Genomic DNA, 23,611 nt, shown 5'->3' with positions numbered 1-23,611 from the left:
AGAGAACATGGGCTTTTCAAGGCAGAGGCGCATATTGTTGTGCCCACAGAGCCCAAAAAAGAGCTCCTTATTTATACTACAAGTCTAAAGCAGAAAGCTTGCCCAGAGTCGGAAAAGTCATTCTGACTAATGTCTTTGAAAGTAGACAGACAATAAATACTTTGAGGACACATTTCCCTAGCCAGTCCCACCACGTCTGCACCTACCATAGTCCAGTGCAGTTAAGTCCATGTAAACCCCTACTCTTGACCTTCCACCACACCCTCCTACCCGTGTCCTGCCACTACTTGGTGCTCTTCCCCAGGTCTCAGTGTTGGTTGCACTGCCTGCTATCTCTGTAAGAGTGGAGGCCAAGATTTGAGAAATATGCGTATGTGACCTTGCTAAGTGGGAGTGTATTTCTCAGGTCAGATATTCACTTCAGGAGTATGATCCAAGGCAGACCAATGTATTAGAAGGGTGGGAACAAAATAATTTTATGAGAAGATGATACATACACTTCAGAAGGCCATAGTGACTGCAAACAGTGGAGGGGCCACTCATCGACTGCATCTCAGACTGCATGTTTTTTTTCTCCATCCAGGTTATTAAGGCCAAAAAAAAAACATAGAGAAGTAAAAAGGACCAATTCAAGCCAACTGGTCTAAGCAGCATTTAATTGAAGAATATGTGATACAGCCTCTTCAATCAGATTGTAAGTTACCTGAAAGCTGCAGTTCACAGGCTCCTCTCTCCACCAAATTAGGATAGAATAATTGCTGGATAAACAAATTCAGAATATCAACAGATGATCACAATAAACATCTGTTTCTCATTCATTACAGTCCCACTATCTCCTTTAGTTTGTCAATCCCTTGTCTCAAGCGAAAATACTTTATCAATGTATTATATGATGTTTATACAAATTTAAAAGTAAACTATATGACAACAATTGCACAAAATACAAGAGGGAAGAATTAGGAGTACACTGTTAGAAGATCCTGTACAACATGTGAAGCAGCGCAGTATTATTTGAAAGTAGATACTGAATAATTAAAGATGTATATTTTGTCCCATAGGGCAATGATTTAGAAATATTTTAAAAGGTATAGAAATAATAACACAATTTTGTGTTATTGGAGAAAGAATAAGCATAAAGCCCAATGGAAAACTAGAGAGCCAAAACTAGGCTTGCACATTTACAGTCTATTGATTTCTACAAAAGTACAACACAGTTCAGTGGAGAAAAGACTAAAAAAAAAGCTACAACAACAATTAGATATCCATACTTAAAAAAATGAATCTGAGCCATTCCTCACTCTTTATACAAAAATAAACTCCAAACAGATCATTGGCTTTTCATAAACAGCTAAAACCATAAAACTTCTACAAGAAAACATGGGAGAAAATCTGTGTGATCTTGGTGTAGGCAAAGATTAAAGATTTAGATATCACACCAAAAGCACAATCTACATAACATAAATGCTTAATAATTTGAACTTCATCAAAATGAAGAACTTCTGTTCTTCAAAAGGTACCATTAAGAGCATTGAAAGGCAAACCATAGATTGGGGCTTAATATTTGTTAGTCACACAGCTGCTGAAGACCCTGTATCCAGGCCAGGCACGGTGGCTCACACCTGTAATCCCAGCACTTTGGGAGGCCCTGGCGGGTGGATCACCTGAGGTCAGGAGTTTGAGACCAGCCTGGCCAACATGGTGAAACCCCATCTCTACTAAAAAAAAAAAAAAAAAAAAAAAAAATAGCCGGGCACGGTGGTGGGCACCTGTAATCCCAGCTACTCGGGAGGCTGAGGCAGGAGAATCACTTGAACCCAGGAGGCGGAGTTTGCAGTGAGCTGAGATTGCGCCATTGCACTCCAGCCTGGGTGATAGAGTAAGACTCTGTCTCAAAAAACAAAAAGATCCTGTATCCAGAATTTATAAAGAACACTCAAAATTCAATAATTGCAGAACAACCAATTAAATGTTTAAAATGGGCAAAAAGATGATACATGGATGTCAAATAAGCACATAAAAATACACTCAACATAATTCATCTTTAAGGAAATGGAAACTAAAACTACAGTGAGATGCCATTATATATTTATTAGAACAGCTAAAATTTAAATTAAAATAGATTACCCATACCAAGTGCTGACAAAGATTTGGAAAAACTGAAACTCTTGTGCACTGCTGGTGGGAATGTCAAATGGTATAACCTTTATGCAAAAGAGTTTGTCCATTTTTAAAAACTTAATATGCATCTACAATGCTAAGGTCTGAGAAGGATACAGAGCAATTGAAACTCTTACTTATTGCTGGTGGGAATGAAAAGTCACATTAGAAAAGAGTTTGGAAATTTCTTATAAATTTAAACATATGCTTACCACATGACACAGCAAGCTTGCTGTAAGTTTTTTATCCACTTGAAATAATTATGTATGTTCACACAAAAATCTGCATGTAAATATTCATGAAAGTTTATTTGTAATTATGCAAAAGTGCAAAAAACTCGATTATCCCTCACCTGAAAAATGAATAAACAAACTTTGGTAGATCCACATAATTGAATTGTACTCTGCAATAAAAAGAATAACTACTGACACCCACATCTACATGGATAGATCTTTACTCTAAGTGAAAGAAGCCAGACTCAAAATTCTACATACATTTTAATTTCATTTTATGACATTCCATAAAGGGCAAAAGTATAGTAAAGACTAGATCAGTGGTTTCTAGGAGCTTGGAGTTGAGAGGAAGGCCGGCAACAAAGCAGCAGGAAGGAAATTTTTGTTATGATGAAACTATTCTCTATCTTAACTTTTGTGGTAGTTTCATGACTACATGCATTTGTAAAAATTCACAGAAATAAGTATGATTGTTTGTAGATTATGCCATGATAAACATGGAAAACATGCATCAGGTTGGAAGATAGAATTATGGATGTTTTTGATATTCTGATTTTTTTTTATTTCTCTGGAATAAATACTCATTGCTTTTATAATAAATAAGAAAGATGAAACTTTAAAGAGACTCACAGAAATCAGGGACTTTAAAACAATGAATATTCCTTATCCGTTAGGTTAATAATGTCCAGGATTTGTGAATGTGATGATGATATGATTAAGGAAAATGTCCTCAGAAGTGTTAGTTGAAACATCAGTTTGGCAACATTACTAGTAATTATGTTCATATTATTTGACCCAGTAATTCCACATATAGGTATTTAACCTAAAATGTCGGCTTTGGTGCTATTGCATACCTCAAAACCACTTGATACAAACTGGTCTGTAAAATGTTTATGAGGACAGATTAGCATCTCTGTGAGTTGTTCTATCCTCTCTGGTCTACACACTACAGATCTAGGGGAAGCTCCAGCTTCTCATCTGCTTGATTTGAGTCCCATGGAGAAGCTCTGATATGTGGTAAGGTGGAAAAATATGACACGGTGCGATCAAGGCATTAGAGGATGAAGCTATTGAAGTGAAAACAAAATTGAAGAGGCAAATTCTTTTGAGCAGAGGGTAATTTTTTTCTTATTTCATTTAAAGATAGATTGTCCTTAGGAAGTACAGTTCAAAGGGGAATCAGCATGATGTTAAGGAAAGCAAGCAAAGGTGGGGATGTAGCAGCCCACCTAAATGACACTAACTCCAAATCACCATCATCCAGGGTACTCAAGAATAGGCAATTACAGAAAGCTTACCTCAAGTGATATGAAATATTAGACTAGCTGAGAATACAAACATCATCTGTGTATAAAACAGTCCTTTTTCTTAGAGTTCATTAAGTCAAATTTGAATTTAGAGGCAGTTTTAGCAGTCTATGACATCTTAGTATGGCATCTGTTCCTAACTAGCTGAGTGATACTGTGATTTTGACCACTTCACTCAATCTCTCTGAACTTCAGTATTCTCAAAGATGAGAAAACTGGCTTCTGTAGCATCTGAAGTTTCTTCAGAATCTGGTTTCCCAAAATGAGCAAAATAATCTTAAACACATATACACACACATATACATACACAGATATATATATGTGTGTGTGTGTGTTTGGTGTGTGTGTGTGTGTATAAGAATAGCATTGGGCAAAAAAATATAAAAATGTCTAATTGGCATCTAAGCCTACTATAATGAAAGACACATAAGCAGAAAGGTAGTGTAAAACAGTACGTTTTTATTATTTCACTCTTTGACGGCAGACCACAATGGTAAACTTTAACGTCTCTTTTCCTTATTGGGCATAGATAGCTTTGGACCTTCGCAGTAGTGAGACAGCCAGATGGGAAGGGGTCCCCAGAGAAACTCCAGCCCGCACACTGGGCAGAGTGTGCACTGGGGTGGAGCCACAGAAGTTTGCGCCATTTGCAGTGGACAGGAGCCTGGCCCCTCCTCTTCCTGGATGGAACCTGGAATTCAAACTGTGAGGCGGGAAGTGCACTAGCAAGGACTCTGGCTTTGTGGACCATCCCTCTTTCCCTCTTTTCCTTTTCACCCAAAAAACCCTGCCCTCCTCATGCTTCATGTTGTCTGTGACCCTAATTTTTCATGGCCATGTGATAAGGACCCCTGTCTTTAGCTGAAATAAGGAAAAGTCCCACAACATTTTTGGTGCCCAAAATGGGGCTCGAGAATCGGTGGGTGAGTTGCAAACCAAGGAATCTTTTTCCCTCTCCTTTCTGAGCCTTTCATCCTCAGACTTCTGAGGGTAGGGGAAATCATGCCCCCACCCCCGTTGTCGCTTCCAGGGGTTGGGATGGTCGACCTGTCTCCATGGCCTTTTACTTCCTTTTTCCAGATGAACCGGTGAGCAGTGGCTCCTCATCACCCTCCCCTCCCTGCTGGGGCTGGGATACACATCCCAAGGTGCCCCAGGTACATGGCTGTGTTTACTGCCATGGGCCCATGAAGTCTCTCCCTCCCCAGGTCAAGGAGGCCAGCTTCATCCCCCACTCCTTTTTTTTTTTTTTTTTTGAGACAGAATCTTGCTCTGTCACCTAGGCTGGAGTGCAGTGGCATGATCTTAGCTCACTGCAACCTCCGCCTCCCGGGTTCAAGCAATTGTCCTGCCTTAGCCTCCCAAGTAGCTGGGACTACAGGCATGCACCACCACGCCTGGCTAATGTTTGTATGTAGAGATGGAGTTTCACCATGTTGGCCAGGCTGGTCTCGAACTCCTGACCTCAAGTGATCTGCTGGCCTTGGCCTCCCAAAATGCTGGGTCTAGAGGCATGAGCCACCGTGCCCAGCCTAAGAATGTCACTTTCTAACAGGTCCAAGAACTCCAAGTTTATCTTGGGACCTTAAGAGAAGAGAATCACTCAACTCACAGGCATTTGAGGATACAAACCCATGACTGGGCTTGGCTTTAAAAGGTCTTATCTGAGACTCCTTGTGAAACAGTTCCATCAAAGCCAATCCAAAAGGCCTATGTAGAAATAATTATTCCTCTTGCACTTTATGCAAATAATCAGACCAAGTGTAAGACTACAATCTATTTTGCAAACAACTCAGTCCTATCATGATTTATGTTTTTTTGTTTGTTTTTTCCAAAAATGAGGACTAGAGAGAAAGAAATTGTGTTTCAAAACTTATCATACATTTGCCATTAAATTCTAAACTCACTAGTTGTTTTTAAGTTTTTGCCTACAGTTTAGATGAACCTTGCTTGTTCCTGTGAACCAACAAGCAAGCTCCAGCTACAGCTCAGAAAGAACAAAAGGTATGGGTAATGTAAAAATCTCCGTCAGCATCCTAGTTCTGAGCAATAATCCTGCAAAATCCTGCCAGGTGATGGGAATAAATAGGATGCCCATCACTCGAAGGTTTCCTCTTTGGGAAAGTAACACCAAGGGAGCTAACCAAAGCCAAGCACCATGCACCCAAATCCTAGCAAGCATTAACTGTAGCCACCAGTTATCTAGGTGTGTCACAAGACATCTTTTTCTCTTCCTTGTTGGAGGAGGACTCAATTCCACAGCTTCAGTTTAGCATTCGGCTTATGATAAAGAGTCCATGCAACATCCTTCAAGACACATTTTGTCCCAAACTCAATTCATAAATTAGGTCTAGGGAATCAAGGCTATTGACAGCAGGGGAGAATAGGGCATACATGGGTATCCCCTAGGCTCCCCTGCTTCATGGGTACAAGCCGCTTTACCACCCATGGTGCTGACTGCCAAGGTTGCTGGGACTTGGGGATGTGAGGATGGAAGAGGGAAAGAGGATGCTCTTCCTTCTCTCCCTCATGTACCATGGGTATCTGCTAGGAAGAGACGGGAACCAGGGATGCCTGCTCCCCTCTTTTTAGATGAGTAACCATTCATTTTCAATCTGTACCCCTTTTGAAAGCATCCTGAACCTTTGGGACTCCTTTGAAAAAACACCTTTCATTTTTCCTTTCTCCCCCCTCAGTTCTCTCTTCACTGATAGGCAATTGTGTCTCCGTACTACGGGACACTCCCGTCAGATGCATCCTCCAAACTGGGAAGAGTTTAAAACCTTAAACTGGTCAGCTTAGGATTGGGCTCAGGGGAAGGGAACCCAGAAGCCCAACATGGCAGCTAAAGGGTAGTTTTTTTTTTTTTTTTTTTTTTTTTTTTTTTGCCGGTTGGGCTTTTGGCCTCCCTCTCCTTGTGCAAACTGATAAAAGGCCTCAGGATTTTTGAGCTGTCCTTACCCCTCCCCTTGTTTAGATACATGTTTTCTAATAACACAATTTGTCTCTTCTTGCCTTCAGGCCATCAAACTCCAGTCATGCAACTGGAGAGGCGGACAATGGCCCATTCTGCTGGGAACCCTTAAATAGGCCTCTGAGGGACTTTGACTGCTGTTTTGCCGAAACAGCACCCCCTGTCAGCAGGAAGCAGTTAAGATCGGTCTTTGTCCTTATCCTTATCCTTATTCTAATGGCAGTTAGATGCATTTCTTTAGAGGGGGCAATGAGACAGCCAGGTGGGAAGGGGTCCCCAGAGAAACTCCAGCCTGCACACTGGGAGGAGTGTGCACTGGGGTGAAGCCACAGAAGTTTGCGCCATTTCCAGTGGGGAAGAGCCCAGCCCCTCCTCTTCCTGGGTGGAACCTGAAATTCAAACTGCCAGGTGGGAAGCCCACAAGCAGGGAGTCTGGCTTTGCAGAAGGACCGTTTCCCTCTTTTCCTTTTCACCCAATAAACGCTGCCCTCCTCACACTTCAAATTGTCTGCGAGCCTAACTTTTCATGGCCCCATGATAAGGATTCCCATGTTTAGCTGAACAAAGGAAAATTCCTGCAACAGTAGTAGACTTCCCCATTCCATTCCTCACAGCTTCCACCACATCCCCACAACCCTCTCCTAACGTACACACCCCAAACGAGAAGAGCAGCCTGGGTTCTAAATCAAGCTCTCTAATTTACCATCTAAGGGTCATTAAGAAAGTGACTTTGCCTTTCTATTCCGTGTTTGTCACATATTATAGGGTGAGTAAAGAGGAGAAAACAATCAACCTTCTAGAACTAATATGAAGATTAAGTGTCACAAAATAATTGCCAAGTACCAGGTACCAAATATATAATCAATAAATTTAGCTAAATTTTAGTTTTAGATACTTACTTTCTGCTATTCTATTCTGAATAAAATTAATTATCTTCAGTGTTTGCCTAATGCAGCTCTTCCTAGGGCAGCTTTCTAATGTATCAGATCACTATAGTGGATTGCGAGAACAGGGAATATGGTTTGAAAGTGCGTGAAGAGCAGTCGGTGTTTTGAGGAAATGCATAAAACCAGATATTTCACATCAGGCAGGCCCAGATATTCCTCTAACACAGACAAGTGCCTTCATGCACATCACCAGAAGGTGCCTCATTTGGCAGAAAAATTACCCAATTATGCCCCCTCCAGGAGACCAATTCTGAAAAGATATCTACTGCTCTGGGCTAAAACAGTAACACAGCACTTGGCAACTGAACCACAAACTGGATTTCACGCTTACTTATCCCTTTAGCCTGGTTTCTTTCAGCAGAACACAGCCTGTTCATTCTTGATCAGGGCTTTACCCGGTAAAGATCACACCCAAAGTATAAATCCAAATATTGCTTGAGGCCTGTGTGCCCCACCCTGATTTGCAGACCACAGACTATTTGCTTTTAAGCAACTCATGGATGGATTAAAGAGACTGCTGGGGAAGCATTCCTTTCACAAAAAAGATAATGTTTATTTATTTTTTCAAATTATAGAAGTTGTAGATGCAAAATATGCCATTTTATTAAAAAAAAACTATGAAAAATTAAAAAAGCACTCCCAATACCCCATTCCATAGGATTAACAGCTAGTATATATGGTGGTGTGTATGTATAGTGTTGTATTTCAACCAGGTATATGTACATTTTTTTAGGCACTTAGACCTTATCTCCATAAACATTATCGTCAATGACATCCAGATTTTAGAAGAAAAAGTCTGGTGAAGTTTCCATACTTGAATCAGGATTGAGTATGTCTTTCTTGTTTTTCCTGGTCTTGATGACCTTGAAGGAGAAAGAGATAAAGACAGACCAGTTGAGATGCTGATGATCCTACATTTCTCCCTTCAATCACACTGTATCTCCTCCCCCTGCACCATATCTCTTCCCCTATTCCTTTCTAAATGATTCTTTTCTCGCTCTCATCTATCTCCCTTAATAAATTCTTGACCTTTGAGTCATGCCTCTCTGTTTAATTTGGACCGTGAAATGAGATATTCACTCCTACTCAGCATGAGTGCAAGTGAAAGAGCAGGAGATGTCAGGGAACAACAGGAGAGAGAAAGGAGCTGGTGCACCCAATGACAAGAGTTGAGGAGAGGGTTTTCATTGGGCAGAAGGAAGGGGGAGAGTACAAAAGGTATTCCTGGTGCAATTGCTATCAAAGAAGGTTTGAAATGTTTGACTGCTGGTCCTGAGAACTGGAGCAATCTGAGAGCATGTGTGTGCCTGAATATGTCAGCCTTTGTTTTGAACTATTTGCCTTCTAATATTAGCCTTTGTTAGTGTTCCAAGAATCCCACATGAATGTATGGGTCAGTGTGGCAAAAAGCATGGACTTTGTTATGTAGACCCAGCTACCTCTGTCTGATGTAAACCAGTGTATGTATCTCACTAAAGGCAGGTACCTTTGTGATCTGATTTGCTCAGATGCATTCTTGGTAATTCAGGGCTGCTGTGAGCTAAGTTGATGACCCTCTATGGTAGACAGTATTTCTCCCATTTCACAAATGATGAACCTGAGATTCCTAGTGTAAGTCTTTAGTCAACTAGAAAGTCACAGAACCAGCTAGTTGAAACAAATGTGCCTTAACCAAACCCAAATTCTTATTAAATTATCTCCACATTGTGGTAAAAGCAACCAATTCTTTCTTATTTAACTTAGGTATCATGGCCTTTGAAAGTCTCTGTAATTTTTTTTATTATGATTACAAGTATCCTTCTTTAAAAACAATGGTGGGAAGTTTACACCCAGTAAAGTGCAAGGCTTTGTTCCTTTTCCACTTGCTAGACTCTCTGTAATAGTAGCAGTCTAGTCTTCTTAAAGTATAAACAAAATGATTCGCCACTTGGAAAAATGATGTTCCTATAAAGTTCCAACCTTGATGTGACTATGAATTACAGATCTCAACTCCCCGGTATTCCCACTTTTCGGTGCCAATTCAAAGCAGGTGAGTTTCAGTTTATCTCCTTCCTCACAGTTGATTGTGGTCAGTCGTCCATGCACCACCACTTCCATCTTCCCTGTATTATCTTGTATTTCATAATAAGTGAATTCACCCCTTACATTTTTCTGCAAAAGAAAATTAACACTTATCTTCTGAAACTGGATCAATAATTTTCAAATCTATGAGAAATACAGGGTGTTTCTGGAAACTTTTGTCTTTGATAGAGTAAACAGAGCTGTAGGTCCTGAATAACAGGTACCAAATAGCTTAAGATACTTGGTCTTTGAATCCTGCCTTTCAACTCCTCCCTTGAGCCTCTTTTGTTGAAGTTCTTTGTCTGCTGGATTTTTTCTAGGAAAAAAAATTGATTACTTTCCTAATTCTTCCTGTTTCCACATCAGCACAGCTGGGATTTTTTAAGGAGCCTGGATACAGAAAAATCTGATTAATTTGGTAGGTTTCTTTCACACCTGCCCAAGAGCAGAGAATAGAGGCTTTTTATGGCACTTTGTAAGTTTGAGAAAGAATGTTGCACGTCCTCATTAAGTAGACTGTTATTTCAATATGTAACTACTTCTTTCTTCTCCATATAGTCACTCTTTCCCAATCTGCCCAGATCTCAAATCTAGATCATCCTATCTATCTAGTCACATTGTTCTGGTTTGTAGCTCATTATTCATTAACTCTACAACCACATATATATGTACAGTCATTTAAACTGAGTGTAGAGAAAACAGCACAATTAAAAGTAAGCCACCCTAGAAGACATGTATAATGGAGTATGAAACAGTACTTCAAACAAGAAGTTAAATCAGCTAAGCATAATATTTACATGATGTGTAGAGACTGAAAGGCACACTGTAAGCCTAAGAATTCACCAAGCTTTTTTTCTTTTTTTTGCATTTTATTGCCCCATTTATAAATTGAGCAGTTAAGCTACGTGACTTTTTTAGTCTTTTTGCTTCGTATTTCTCTTATTATTTAATGCAGAAGTTAGTTGCTCTACAGTCTCCTGATGAATTAATGAATGAGAAGAGGCAAGAAACTTTGGAGTCCAAATGATCAGAATTCTAGCTAACTGTTAGACATAGCTGCATTCTAAAGCAGAGTAGTCTATTTTATTTCTTACTCTGGTTGTCACAATCAGGATTCAGGCTTGGGAGAGCAACTCTTTTATTCACAATTAAATTAAGTTGTCATTGATACAGATGGAGAAGAACTCAAAGAAACAAAATCCTAAGGATATGTGTGTTGATATAAACTCTGCACTGTCCTGGACAAGGGTGGCTCTGAATAGATCATCAAAACTAATAAAATGCCAAGTTTCCTAGTGACTGTCTAAATAACTTGCATGATGATACCTTAAGAAGAGGAATGTTACAATATAACGTACCCCATATCCTGAAATGAACTCTATTCAATTATCTCTAGTGCTGGGGGAAGGGTGAAGGGGTTGATTTTCTGTGTTGAGTAAGTTGACCAAACTCCAGTTGACAAGTTAAGACTTTAAAAATTGGAGGTTGCAGGAGAAATTTTATAAAACAATGGTGTGGGCTTACCTTATGTACCTCAAACACCCCATTCACAAAACTTCCTTTAGTTTGTGAGCAAAGCTGATTGATTTTAGGAGTTACGCTGGCACTTCTAATCAATCCTTTTGGGATCTCCATGTTTCGGTCAGCATTCACATCAGCCACAAGTGTGAAAGGATATACCTCCAGGAACCCATTGCGGCAAACATAATTTGCTATGGCAATGATCTTCTTTGGGGTGAACTTCTCCTTTAGGTCAATATTAAAAACCTTCACTCGGAAGACTTCATTCTCAGTTGCCACTGTGGCATGAAACATTTTCTTCTGCTCTTTGGGCTCATATACAAATGATTCTGTTGCGTTCAGCACCATCACTTCTTTGAGGTCACTCTGGGCACTGTCTTCTATGGAAACTTCTTCAGGTTCAGTCTTCAGTCTTGGTTTCAACTTAGAAGGTAGAGACCAAAACATAGGCACAATTAAAACAGGAAAAACAGGGTCATTCTCTAGTGAGAGTCATCTCAGCCTCAGTGTTGGTCCTCAAGTATCACCTTAACTGGGTAAAGTAGGGAAAACTAGACAAAGATCACTGAGATAGTATGATTTAGGTAACGGAAGAAATGAAAAAGATGTAAGGAGTAATTTTATTATCTTCATTGTTTTATGAGAGTGGAAGGAAGAATATTTCTTTTTTAATGAGAATTAACCCATAAAGAAAAGGCATATCCCCTATCAAGAGGTATGGGGAAGCAGAGGGTAAAGGCAAAGCTGCCATGAAGTGACTCCCAAAAGAGATGAGATTTTAGAAGAATCTCAGTTTTACTCCTTTCTACCCAGGTCAGGTCATATTGAGCACTGCTGGTCCGTGGAGGCAGCTGTCCTGCCTCCATGTTCTGGTCTCTAGGACTCCCTTGATCCCTTCTTGCCTCCATACTTCCTCTTCCAGATCAGCAGCCCCTCCAATTCAAAGTGCTCTCCTACAACTCAGAAATAGTGCAGGCCACTGTGGAGAGAGGAGGTTAAAGAAAAGTTCCCTCCTGCCTAATATGACAGTGACCAAATAAAATAAAAATAGAGAAAAAAATCATATTACTAGCATTCAGAGTAAGGAATAGTCTCAACCACAAACCTTAGATTTCATGAGATTTCAGTTGGAACTCATTCTAGTAGATAGGGGCATTTTAAAGAACCAAATTGCAAAGCCCTTTCTAATGAAGCAGCACTATGTTGCAAAAACATCATTAAGGCAGCCACTGGAAGACTCCACAAACTTTCCTAATCTGAAGGGGCCCAGGTTAGAGGCTCTCCAATCTGAATAATGGCAGGAACTAAAAAGAGTCATGGACGTGAAAAATTAGGCGGGAGGGGACTTTTCTTTAACCTCCTGTCTCCACAGTGGCCTGCACTGTTTCTGAGTTGTAGGAGAGCACTTTGACTTGGAGGGGCTGCTGATCTGGAAGAGGAGGTATGGAGGCAAGAAGGGATCAAGGGAGTCTTAGAGACCAGAACATGGAGGCAGGACGGCTGCCTCCACAGACCAGCAATGTGATCTGACCTGGAAGATGATATTGGCCACCTGTGAGTGATGGCTTTAACTCTGATGGACTTAACTCTAATGAACTCATCAATGTGGCCAATTTTCCATAACATTAGGAAACCCATTCCCAATGAAGTTAATCAGTATCAAATCACCTCACAATAGCCATGACATCAGTACCCTGACACAAGGTGCACAGAACCTAAGGAAATAATTATAAAGCTACTCTGAGGGCAATGAAAGAAGATCTGAGAGACATGTGATCTTATTATGTTCGTTGTAAATACACAGAATACTGGAAACAACATAAAGCCAAATAAAAAATGATCATTTTTATAATGTATGGAATAACTGTGCAATTTTTCTAGTACAATAAAATAATTTAAATCTATATTGTATGATTGCATGGCAGTTCACGATATATTAATAAAAAACATGGGTTATGGAAAAATATGTGAATGTGATTTACTCTGAGAGAAAATAAGACTCTTTGTATATACATACTGAAAGGTATAAAATCAGAAAGACCATGTACTGAAATGTGGCATTAGATAGAGATTTCTGACAGTTAAAAGTTATTTTTGCTTATGTACCTTCCTTTCCTAAATTTTTAAACATATTGTTTGAGTTATAATAAATGAAAGGGGAAAAATCAGTGATAGTGTTATGGGTGGCTCTGTTTTTTCCCACCTTGTTCTACTTTAAGGTATGATTTTCATGATGTATTGAGGGAAAAACAAAAACGTAAGCCAAAAGAAAAATAAAATTAAACAAACATCTAATTATACCTGTTATGGAATAGAGATGATAAAAACAGAATTTTAATTTTGGATAGGACCTCAAAATACACACTTGATAAATAAATGACTGATTTGGTTAAATTAAAGCATTGTATGTAGTAGGGGATTGGTGAGGTGCTTTCACGGTTGTGTTAATCCTTGTCATTATATAGTAGCGAGGGGAATGTATTGGGAAGAGGGAACTTGTACCGTGGTTAAGAAACTGCTGCTTGGTGTTGATGGAGGCATCTGAGGAGTGTGGGGATGGCTCTCAGCTGGGCCTATGCTGGTCATGAACGGTCCTGGAAAATGACTCCCTTCCTTCAGTATCTGCATCCTCATGAAGTCATTCATTTTGGAGATTGTGTCTTCACTTTTCTAAAGGAAAATAGATGTTTGTTCTTTTTTTCTAGTTAATGTTTTTCAAGATCAGATGAAACACATCTTTTCCTTTTTTCTTTTTTAAATAGGATGTTCACTTTGCCAGTTTCTCTGTTTTTCCCTGAGTTGCAGGAGGAATAATACCACATATTCAGATACTTCTATCACTCAGCCTTCTCTCATCCCAGTCAGGATTAAAAACTCAGATAACTGAAATTGCATTGTCTGGGGATGGAATACTCAGTCTTCACATCCTGTAAAACTGGACTGAGTTATTTGGTCAGGTACAACTCTTAGGGCTATTTTGGGGGCAGCATGGCTTGCAATAAAGTTGGCTACATTTATGGACATTTATTAACTAGGCCTTTCTCATCAATTAGATACACAAACCAGTCTCTCTCAAGTGCTCTTCAGCATACAAGAAACCCAGATCTCCATCCTTTAGGGATCTCTGATCGTAGCCATAACAGGAAGATTCTCTCAAATTCACAATTCCTCAGGGAAGGTTCTATGATCACTACAGTGTGGATCAGGCTATCAGAATCTTTCAGGGTTTTTAGCTGTATTCAGAACAATTTAATATTCCACCTAAAGCATTCCCATTAGCTATATTTTTATACATTTTTCAAGTAAGACTGGAGAATATCTCTAAAATCACATACCTTGACTACCTTTAATTAAACTAATGGAAGTCCAAAAAATATTCACCCTATTTGGCCAATGTGGCACATTATTTTAGCAGTTTTGCCATTCAGTAACCTAATTTTTTAAGTGGCAATTGTTGATAGAGAGGTACACAAAAGAACTGCTTGTAGTGAGCTCACATGGAGAACAGCTTCTTGATTAGAACAGTCTCTGACCACCACTGAGCACCTGGACTATGGAAATAAACCCCAAACAAAACACTGTATTTTCAAAATTGTTTAACATTTGCACACCTACTGTGGATTCAGTCTATGCTCATTAAAGGTTCACATTTTAAATGTTAACATTTTAAGTTCAATAAGGCTGCATTTGAATCCTGACTCTAATACTATTTGTGTGACCCTGAGGAAGATTTCTTTGCATCTCAGTTTTCTCACATGTGAAGTGGGACTAGCCATAGCATTTTTGTATGGTGTTATAAAGAATAAATTAGGTAATGTGCACAAAGAATGGGTTTTAGAGTCCAGAGCTCAGTAAATGCTCAATAAATAAATCTTTGTTGCTATTATTTTTCCACGATCTATTAGGGGTTTGCGTGTCTGCTCTGATGAACAGCTATTTCATGCTTTATGATGCCCTTGCTGATGGAAATCTTGTATGGAGGTAATATAGGAAGCATAATAGGAGAGAAGCCCCTCTCTTCAGATCTGCCATGTGTAGCAATGTAATTTTATTGACAAGATTGTCTTGAGATATAATGTTTTAAAAATAAGTGAAATCTTAAACTGTCATCACAGTAGCCCAGTTTGGATGATGAAATTATAATCTTTGTTTGAATAATATTTTAAAAGTGCAAGCATTTGTTTTCCCTCAGAATAAATCCTCCTCCACCCTACCCTGTTCATGAATTATGCCCTTGTGTACTGTTCACTTCAGGATACGTAACAGCATAAATCAAAGGTAATAGTCTGTTTCCGGCTTTGAATTAAAGTCAGAAAGAACTCTATTATAGAAAAACTACTTGGGAGAAGCTGTGATGTATAAGAGCAAGGATTCCCGGCTTACGTTGCGAATCACAGACTGATTGGTCAGACACCATTTTTGCAGGCCTCCTGTGAAGATGGCTGGATCCCAGAGAAGAAATGACTACGTGGTGTATGTTTAGGTGGATGAGTCTGCCTTGGATCCTGAGCTTTCAGAGCAGCAGAATGATTCCTATGCAAGTAGAAATGATTGTGCTGCATATTTAGGCAGGCAAGGTCTTAGAAAGTGTCACTTCCAAGCCAGTATGCATGGACAGAGTAGTTGTCTTATGATGTCTATGTATGTCATTACAGTAACAGAGAGACAGTGGGCCTGAGATTTTCATGACTACACATGGGCTCTACCTGTGGCCTTGATGGTAAGTCCCAAGATGGCAACAGTTACAAGCAGCTAGTTCTGCCCAAGAAGAACCAGGAAAGACTATATAGGGGGAAATATGAAATCTTGAAATTAATAACTAAAAAAAAAGACTGTCTAAAAAATTGAGAAAACCTGTATGTAGAAAGCCTGTTCTCAACTGACGTGTGTGGATGGTGCTCGGGTCCGCAACCTGGGCCGGGGGTAGCTTGGGGCTTGGGTGAGAAACAACATTGGAGAATAGTAATGTAAATCTTAGTGTTCCCTATCCCTCAAGTTGCCGTGGGTCAGTATTTCCCTGCCCATACCTTCCCTGCCCATTCGTCTTGGGTGTAGGCCCCATAGCGCTGGATTGTAGGTCATACAGAGGTATCAGGGCAGAACAAAAGGCAAGCTGGGATAAGGGTTGATAACACACAAGTGTAAATTCACTTTCCCACCTCTGTGTTATCTTCTCCTAGGAAAGGGTATCTATAACCTACATTTATTGCTGAGTAGGGAAGAAAGTCATAGGTTTATTATAGCTATGATAAATGCTCTAAAGAAATAGAAAGGTACCTATGAAGGCAAACAATGAGAAAATATGATCTATTCTGGGAGGAGGGTATTAGTGAGAACTTGCTCAAGGAATAGATGAGACTGGTACCTCGTGGTTGAACTTATTTGGGGACAGAATTGAGATGGAAAAATTTGATATCAAAGGAAGTATCAAAACCCTTGATGTGGTTAAGAGCATGGATAGTGAAACTAACCTCTGATGTATGGTGAGAGAGCAAAAGAGAAAGGATTGCAAAGAAACTGGAATGTAGAGGATGAACATATTGGTAATAATAATACTGGTGGAATTGTTATTCAGGAAAAAATAGCAATTATTCCTGTTCATATCTCAAATCATTGTATGTTGTTTATTTAAAGGGAGACATGGTAGAAGATATCAAATATAAAAATGTTATCCTTCTGGTTTTCAAATCAAAACCAGGAATAACGCATATCACACACAAAACTCATCAATGTGGCCAATTTTCCATAACATTAGGAAACCCGTTCCCAATGAAGTTAATCAGTATCAAATCACCTTACAATAGCCATGACATTAGTACCCTGACACAAGGTGCACAGGACCTAAGGAAATAATTATAAAGCTACTCTGAGGGTAATGAAAGAAGATCTGAGAGACATTTGTTCTTACTATGTTCATTGTAAATTCACAGAATACTAGAAACAACATAAGCCAAATAACGTAGGATCATTTTATAATGTATGGAATAACCATGCAATTTTTCTGGTACAATAAAGTAATTTAAATCTATATTGTATGGTTGAATGGCAGTTCAAGATATATTAATAAAAAGCATGAGTTATAGAAAAATATGCGTAATGTGATTTACTCTGAGAGAATATAATAAGACTCTTTGTATATACATAATGAAAGGTGTAAAGTCAGAAAGACCATGTACTGAAATGTGGCATTAGATAAAGATTTCTGATAGTTAAAAATTAATTATTTTTGCTTATGTACCTTCTTTTCCTAAATTTTTAAAGATGGTATTATTTGAGTTATAATAAATGAAAGAGAAAGAATCAGTGATAGTGTTATGGTTGGCTCTGTTTTTTCCCACCTTGTTCTACCTTAAAGTATTATTTTCGTGGTGTATTGAGGGAAAAACAAAAAGGTAAGCCAAAAGGAAAATAAAATTAAAAAGATATCTAATTATACCTGCTATGGAATAGAGATGATAAAAATAGAATTTTAATTTTGGATAGGACCTCAAAATACACACTTGATAAATAAATGACTGATTTGGTTAAATTAAAGCATTGTATGTAGTAGGGGATTGGTGAGGTGCTTTCAAGGTTGTGTTAATCCTTGTCATTACATTGTAGTGAGGGGAATGTATTGGGAAGAGGGAACTTGTACCGTGGTTAAGAAACTGCTGCTTGGTGTTGATGGAGGCATCTGAGGAGTGTGGGGATGGCTCTCAGCTGGGCCTATGCTGGTCATGAACGGTCCTGGAAAATGACTCCCTTCCTTCAGTATCTGCATCCTCATGAAGTCATTCATTTTGGAGATTGTGTCTTCACTTTTCTAAAGGAAAATAGATGTTTGTTCTTTTTTTCTAGTTAATGTTTTTCAAGATCAGATGAAACACATCTTTTCCTTTTTTCTTTTTTAAATAGGATGTTCACTTTGCCAGTTTCTCTGTTTTTCCCTGAGTTGCAGGAGGAATAATACCACATATTCAGATACTTCTATCACTCAGCCTTCTCTCATCCCAGTCAGGATTAAAAACTCAGATAACTGAAATTGCATTGTCTGGGGATGGAATACTCAGTCTTCACGTCCTGTAAAACTGGACTGAGTTATTTGGTCAGGTACAACTCTTAGGGCTATTTTGGGGGCAGCATGGCTTGCAATAAAGTTGGCTACATTTATGGACATTTATTAACTAGGCCTTTCTCATCAATTAGATACACAAACCAGTCTCTCTCAAGTGCTCTTCAGCATACAAGAAACCCAGATCTCCATCCTTTAGGGATCTCTGATCATAGCCATAATAAGAAGATTCTCTCAAATTCACAATTCCTCAGGGAAGGTTCTATGATCACTACAGTATGGATCAGGCAATCAGAATCTTTCAGAGTTTTTAGCTGTATTCAGAAGAATTTAATATTCCACCTAAAGCATTCCCATTAGCTATATTTTTATACATTTTTCAAGTAAAATTGGGGAATATCTCTAAAATCACATACCTTGACTACTTTTAATTAAACCAATGGAAGTCCAAAAAATATTCATCCTATTTGGCCAATGTGGCACATTATTTTAGCAGTTTTCCCATTCAGTAACCTAATTTTTTAAGTGGCAATTGTTGATAGAGAGGTACACAAAAGAACTGCTTGTAGTGAGCTCACATGGAGAACAGCTTCTTGATTAGAACAGTCTCTGACCACCACTGAGCACCTGGACTATGGAAATAAACCCCAAACAAAACACTGTATTTTCAAAATTGTTTAAAAATAAACTGCAGACATTTTAACATTTGCACACCTACTGTGGATTCAATCTATGCTCATTAAAGGTTCACATTTTAAATGTTAACATTTTAAGTTCAATAAGGCTGCATTTGAATCCTGACTCTAATACTATCTGTGTGACCCTGAGGAAGATTTCTTTGCACCTCAGTTTTCCCACATGTGAGATGGGACTAGCCATAGCATTTTTTTATGGTGTTATAAAGAATAATTTAGGTAATGTGCACAAAGAATGGGTTTTAGAGTCCAGAGCTCAGTAAATGCTCAATAAATAAATCTTTGTTGCTATTATTTTTCCACGATCTATTAGGGGTTTGCATGTCTGCTCCGGTGAACAGATATTTCATGCTTTATGATGCCCTTGTTGATGGAAACCTTGTATGGAGGTAATATAGGAAGCATAATAGGAGAGAAGCCCCTCTCTTCAGATCTGCCATGTGTAGCAATGTAATTTTATTGACAAGATTGTCTTGAGATATAATCTTTTAAAAATAAGTGAAATCTTAAACTGTCATCACAATAGCCCAGTTTGGATGATGAAATTATAATCTTTGTTTGAATAATATTTTAAAAGTGCAAGCATTTGTTTTCCCTCAGAATAAATCCTCCTCTACCCTACCCTGTTCATGAATTATGCCCTTGTGTACTGTTCACTTCAGGATACGTAACAGCATAAATCAAAGGTAATAGTCTGTTTCCGGCTTTGAATTAAAAAGTCAGAAAGAACTCTATTATAGAAAAACTACTTGGGAGAAGCTGTGATGTATAAGAGCAAGGATTCCCGGCTTACGTTGCGAATCACAGACTGATTGGTCAGACACCATTTTTGCAGGCCTCCTGTGAAGATGGCTGGATCCCAGAGAAGAAATGACTACGTGGTGTATGTTTAGGTGGATGAGTCTGCCTTGGATCTTGTGCTTTCAGAGCAGCAGAATGATTCCTATGCAAGTAGAAATGATTGTGCTGCATATTTAGGCAGGCAAGGTCTTAGAAAGTGTCACTTCCAAGCCAGTATGCATGGACAGAGTAGTTGTCTTATGATGTCTATGTATGTCATTGCAGTAACAGAGAGACAGTGGGCCTGAGATTTTCATGACTACACATGGGCTCTACCTGTGGCCTTGATGGTAAGTCCCAAGATGGCAACAGTTACAAGCAGCTAGTTCTGCCCAAGAAGAACCAGGAAAGACTATATAGGGGGAAATATGAAATCTTGAAATTAATAACCAAAAAAATGACTGTCTAAAAAATTGAGAAAACCCACATGTAGAAAGCCTGTCCTCAACTGACATGTGTGATGGTGCTCAGGTCTGCAACCTGGGCCGGGGGCAGCTTGGGGCTTGGGTGAGAAATGATATTGGAGAATAATAATGTAAATCTTAGTGTTCCCTATCCCTCAAGTTGCCATGGGTCAGTATTTCCCTGCCCATACCTTCCCTGCCCATTTGCCTTGGGTATAGGCCCCATAACGCTGGATTGTAGGTAACACAGGGGGTGATATCAGGGCAGAACAAAAGGCAAGCTGGGTAAGTGTTGACAACACACAAGTGTAAACTCACTTTCCCACCCCTGTGTTGTCTTCCCCTAGGAAAGGGTATCTATAATCTACATTTATTGCTGAGTAGGGAAGAAAGTCATAGGTTTATTATAGCTATGATAAATGCTCTAAAGAAATAGAAAGGTACCTATGAAGGCAAACAATGAGAAAATATGATCTATTCTGGGAGGAGGGTATTAGTGAGAACTTGCTCAAGGAATAGATTAGACTGGTACCTTGTGGTTGAAGATATCTGGGGACAGAACTGAGATGGAAAAAATTGACATCAAAAGAAGTATCCAAACCCCCGATGTGGTTAAGAGCATGGATACGGAAACTGAACTCTGATGTATGGTGAGAGAGCAAAGGAGAAAGGATCGCAAAGAAACTGGAATATAGAGGATGAACACATTGGTATAGTAATACTGGGGGATTTATTATTCAGGAAAAAATAGCAATTATTCCTATTCATAATTCAAATCATTTTGTTGTTTATTTTAAGGGAGACATGGCAGAAGATATCAAATATAAAATTGTTATGCTTTGGGTTTCCAATCAAAACCAGGAATAATCCATATCACACACAAAATTTGTGAGAGAACCTATCATCAATAAGAATAAAGCTTTCCTGCAGAGCTACTGGATCATATAGAGGGTAGTCAGACAGGTTTTGCCTCCTATGGGGCTGGCTGGACACCAGAGGGAAAATGGCTGTACCGGAGGTAGAAGACATATGATCCTGGCTGAGATTACTAAGCTAAGGGAGGTTTAGGTGCAGCAGAATAACTCCTATGGCTACAGAAATGGACACATTGCTTATTTAGAAGGGTTGGAGCTAAGAAAACATCACATGTCCCTTTTAAGCCAGTATGTAGGAGAAATCAGAATTTTCCAGGAATATTCACTTACGTCTTTGAAGTAGAAGACAAAAAAATGGGTCTGAACTATTAACGAGTAGGTATGGGCTCCATATATGATTTTTTCAAAATCCCCCTTTTTATAGGCTCTTCCCTCTGCTAATGTGTCTAGATACTGACATAACTTTAGTTTCCTCAGCCCACATTTCAGCCTACACAGGACCAGGATTATAGTCTTCAGTCTGAAATGGTCAAGATTCAGATGACTGAAGTTTCTTTCACTGGCCTTAGATTCTTGGATCTATCTGTGTTGTATGCTGATCTGAGACCACTTAATGTCATTTTCTGGTAGATAACTCTTCCTGGTGATGAGGGGGGCATGACTCAGAGTAAAATCAGCCAAACTGAGGAGTATTTATAAGTAAACCTGTCTCATCAAATGAGTACACATACAGGTAATAGTTATCTGCTCTTCAGGCTCTAGTACACCAACCTCTCCATCTTTTTGTTCAGCAAACTGATCTTTGCTGCGAGGATCCTCTCAAAGCTACAGTTCCAGAGTCAGGATTATGTTGCCCTTGCTGTCTATATGAGGCAAACTGAAATCGTCAAGATTCTCAATCGTAATCACAGGGGTTCCACGTTCCACCTGGGGAATTCCCAGTAGCTGGCTTCTTACACTTTGTTCAAGTGAGGACAGAGAGTGTCTGCAAAATCATATACTTTGAATACCATTAATTATAATAGTGAAAACCCATTTCTAACCATTTACATGTGATGTCCATTTGTCACTGTTTTTCTCACTTCTGGCTTTCACTAATATAATTCTATCGCACCGTTAGCTGAAAAAGTGGTAGGTGAGAGGGCTGCAGGAGCCTGCTGCAGTGCTGTGGCTCTCTGATGAGAACAGCCTCTGGCCACTCTCGTGGACCTCCTCCATCACTGAAAGGCTGCAGAGTTCAGGCTATTAAACAAACCCAAGCCTGACACTGTCTATTCTGAAATGTTAGTGTACACACACATGTAAATATACTGGAGACAATTTAAATCTTCTCTCTCACACTGGTAGAAACATTATTCCAAAACTATGAACGCTAGTGTTCTCATATGTGAATTGAGACTGACAATATCATATTTATGGGGTTGTAATGAAGAATAAGTTACATAATATACATAGCTAATAAGTTTAGAGCCTAGACCCTAGTAAATGCCCAACAAGCAAAAATATAATTATTGCCATTGTTAATAATGGCCTGTGCAGGATTTGAATTTCTGCCTGATGCACACATTTTCCATGCTTTATGTTGACTCTGTTGATGGATACCCCAGATCAAGGTGAGATGAAAATCGTTTCATTAAAAATGTTTCTCTATTTAAGTATGCCACATGTATTAATGGAATCTTATTGAAAGGAGTATATTTCTAAATTTAGAACATAAAACTTTTTGTTCAGTGTTTAAAACTACATACTTCGTAGCATGAGTAGCTATGAAAACACTCAAACAATTTAAGAAAGAAAAGATTAACAACATGCTTCTCTCTGAACTCATCCTCTATCAGCTTTAGCTCCCAGAGGTAAGGACAGTCTTGAATCATGATGAATAGCTCTAAAAATAGCTTTTACCACACAAGGCATTTATTCTTAAGCAATATGATATTTAGTTTTATTAGTTTCAGAGCTTACAAAAATGTTATTATACTATTTAAAATTTACTGTGATTTGCTTTTTCCAATTATTATATGCCTCATATGCATCTGTGATGCATGCATCTGCAGCTTATTTAATTTCAATTCAACATCATGTTCCCTAATTTACCCATTCTCTTGACATACGTCATGGGTTCTTCCAAGATTTTTCCAGTTCACATGATGCTGCTGTGACTATTTGTATACATTTTATTTATTCATATGCCCAGTTGGATTTGCAGCATTGGTAAAGTATGCATGTTTTCAGGTTTAAGATAGCACCAAATTGGTTTTCAAAATGTCTGTACTAATTTGTACCTCTTCAGCAATGGTTCCTATTGCATTATACAATGCAAATACACCTTTGAAGAGGCACAAAGGATGATAATAGTAAGCTAGTGATTTGGCTAAGAAATGGCTGGATGGGGTTTATGTAATTTTCTGTGAAGTCTGAGGATGGCTCACTCCTGGAGGTTTTCTGAAGCCAGAAGTTTGCAGATGCAGTTTCAAGTCTTGAGAAGACTTTATTCTATTGAAGTCATCAACTGGGGTGATTCTGGCCTCCAGGTTCTCAGGAAA

The 23,611-nt window shown here is 38.9% G+C and overlaps 2 protein-coding genes across 21 annotated transcripts in view; one reads left to right on the top strand and one right to left on the bottom strand.

Moving 5' to 3' along the window:
• The window catches only part of AIM2 (absent in melanoma 2), a 92,082-nt gene extending 83,831 nt beyond the window's left edge, over positions 1–8,251 (top strand). For 5 of the 8 annotated variants that reach the window (XM_047434809.1, XM_047434808.1, NM_001348247.2 and 2 more), the window contains one exon: positions 584–818. In XM_047434809.1, the coding sequence (XP_047290765.1) occupies positions 584–610 (27 nt within the window). In that variant the 3' untranslated portion in view covers positions 611–818. Of the gene's footprint in view, positions 1–583; positions 819–3,342; positions 5,702–6,718 lie in introns of those variants that run through there. The other 3 variants (XR_007064924.1, XR_001737547.3, XR_001737544.2) reach the window with 2 other exon arrangements.
• The window catches only part of IFI16 (interferon gamma inducible protein 16), a 55,176-nt gene continuing 39,715 nt past the window's right edge, over positions 8,151–23,611 (bottom strand). For 5 of the 13 annotated variants that reach the window (NM_001364867.2, XM_047419406.1, XM_047419399.1 and 2 more), the window contains 5 exons: positions 17,838–18,005; positions 13,703–13,870; positions 11,204–11,623; positions 9,578–9,769; positions 8,151–8,481 (listed from right to left, as the gene is read on the bottom strand). In NM_001364867.2, the coding sequence (NP_001351796.1) occupies positions 8,401–8,481; positions 9,578–9,769; positions 11,204–11,623; positions 13,703–13,870; positions 17,838–18,005 (1,029 nt within the window). In that variant the 3' untranslated portion in view covers positions 8,151–8,400. Of the gene's footprint in view, positions 8,482–9,577; positions 9,770–11,203; positions 12,057–12,731; positions 13,871–17,837; positions 18,006–23,611 lie in introns of those variants that run through there. The other 8 variants (NM_001376591.1, XM_047419411.1, XM_047419413.1 and 5 more) reach the window with 3 other exon arrangements.

Source organism: Homo sapiens, chromosome 1 (genome assembly GCF_000001405.40).
Source record: "Homo sapiens chromosome 1, GRCh38.p14 Primary Assembly".
NCBI classification, from domain to species: domain Eukaryota; kingdom Metazoa; phylum Chordata; class Mammalia; order Primates; family Hominidae; genus Homo; species Homo sapiens.
The sequence above is the reverse complement of the archived record's forward strand: the minus strand, read 5'-3'. Positions and strand labels throughout refer to the sequence as shown.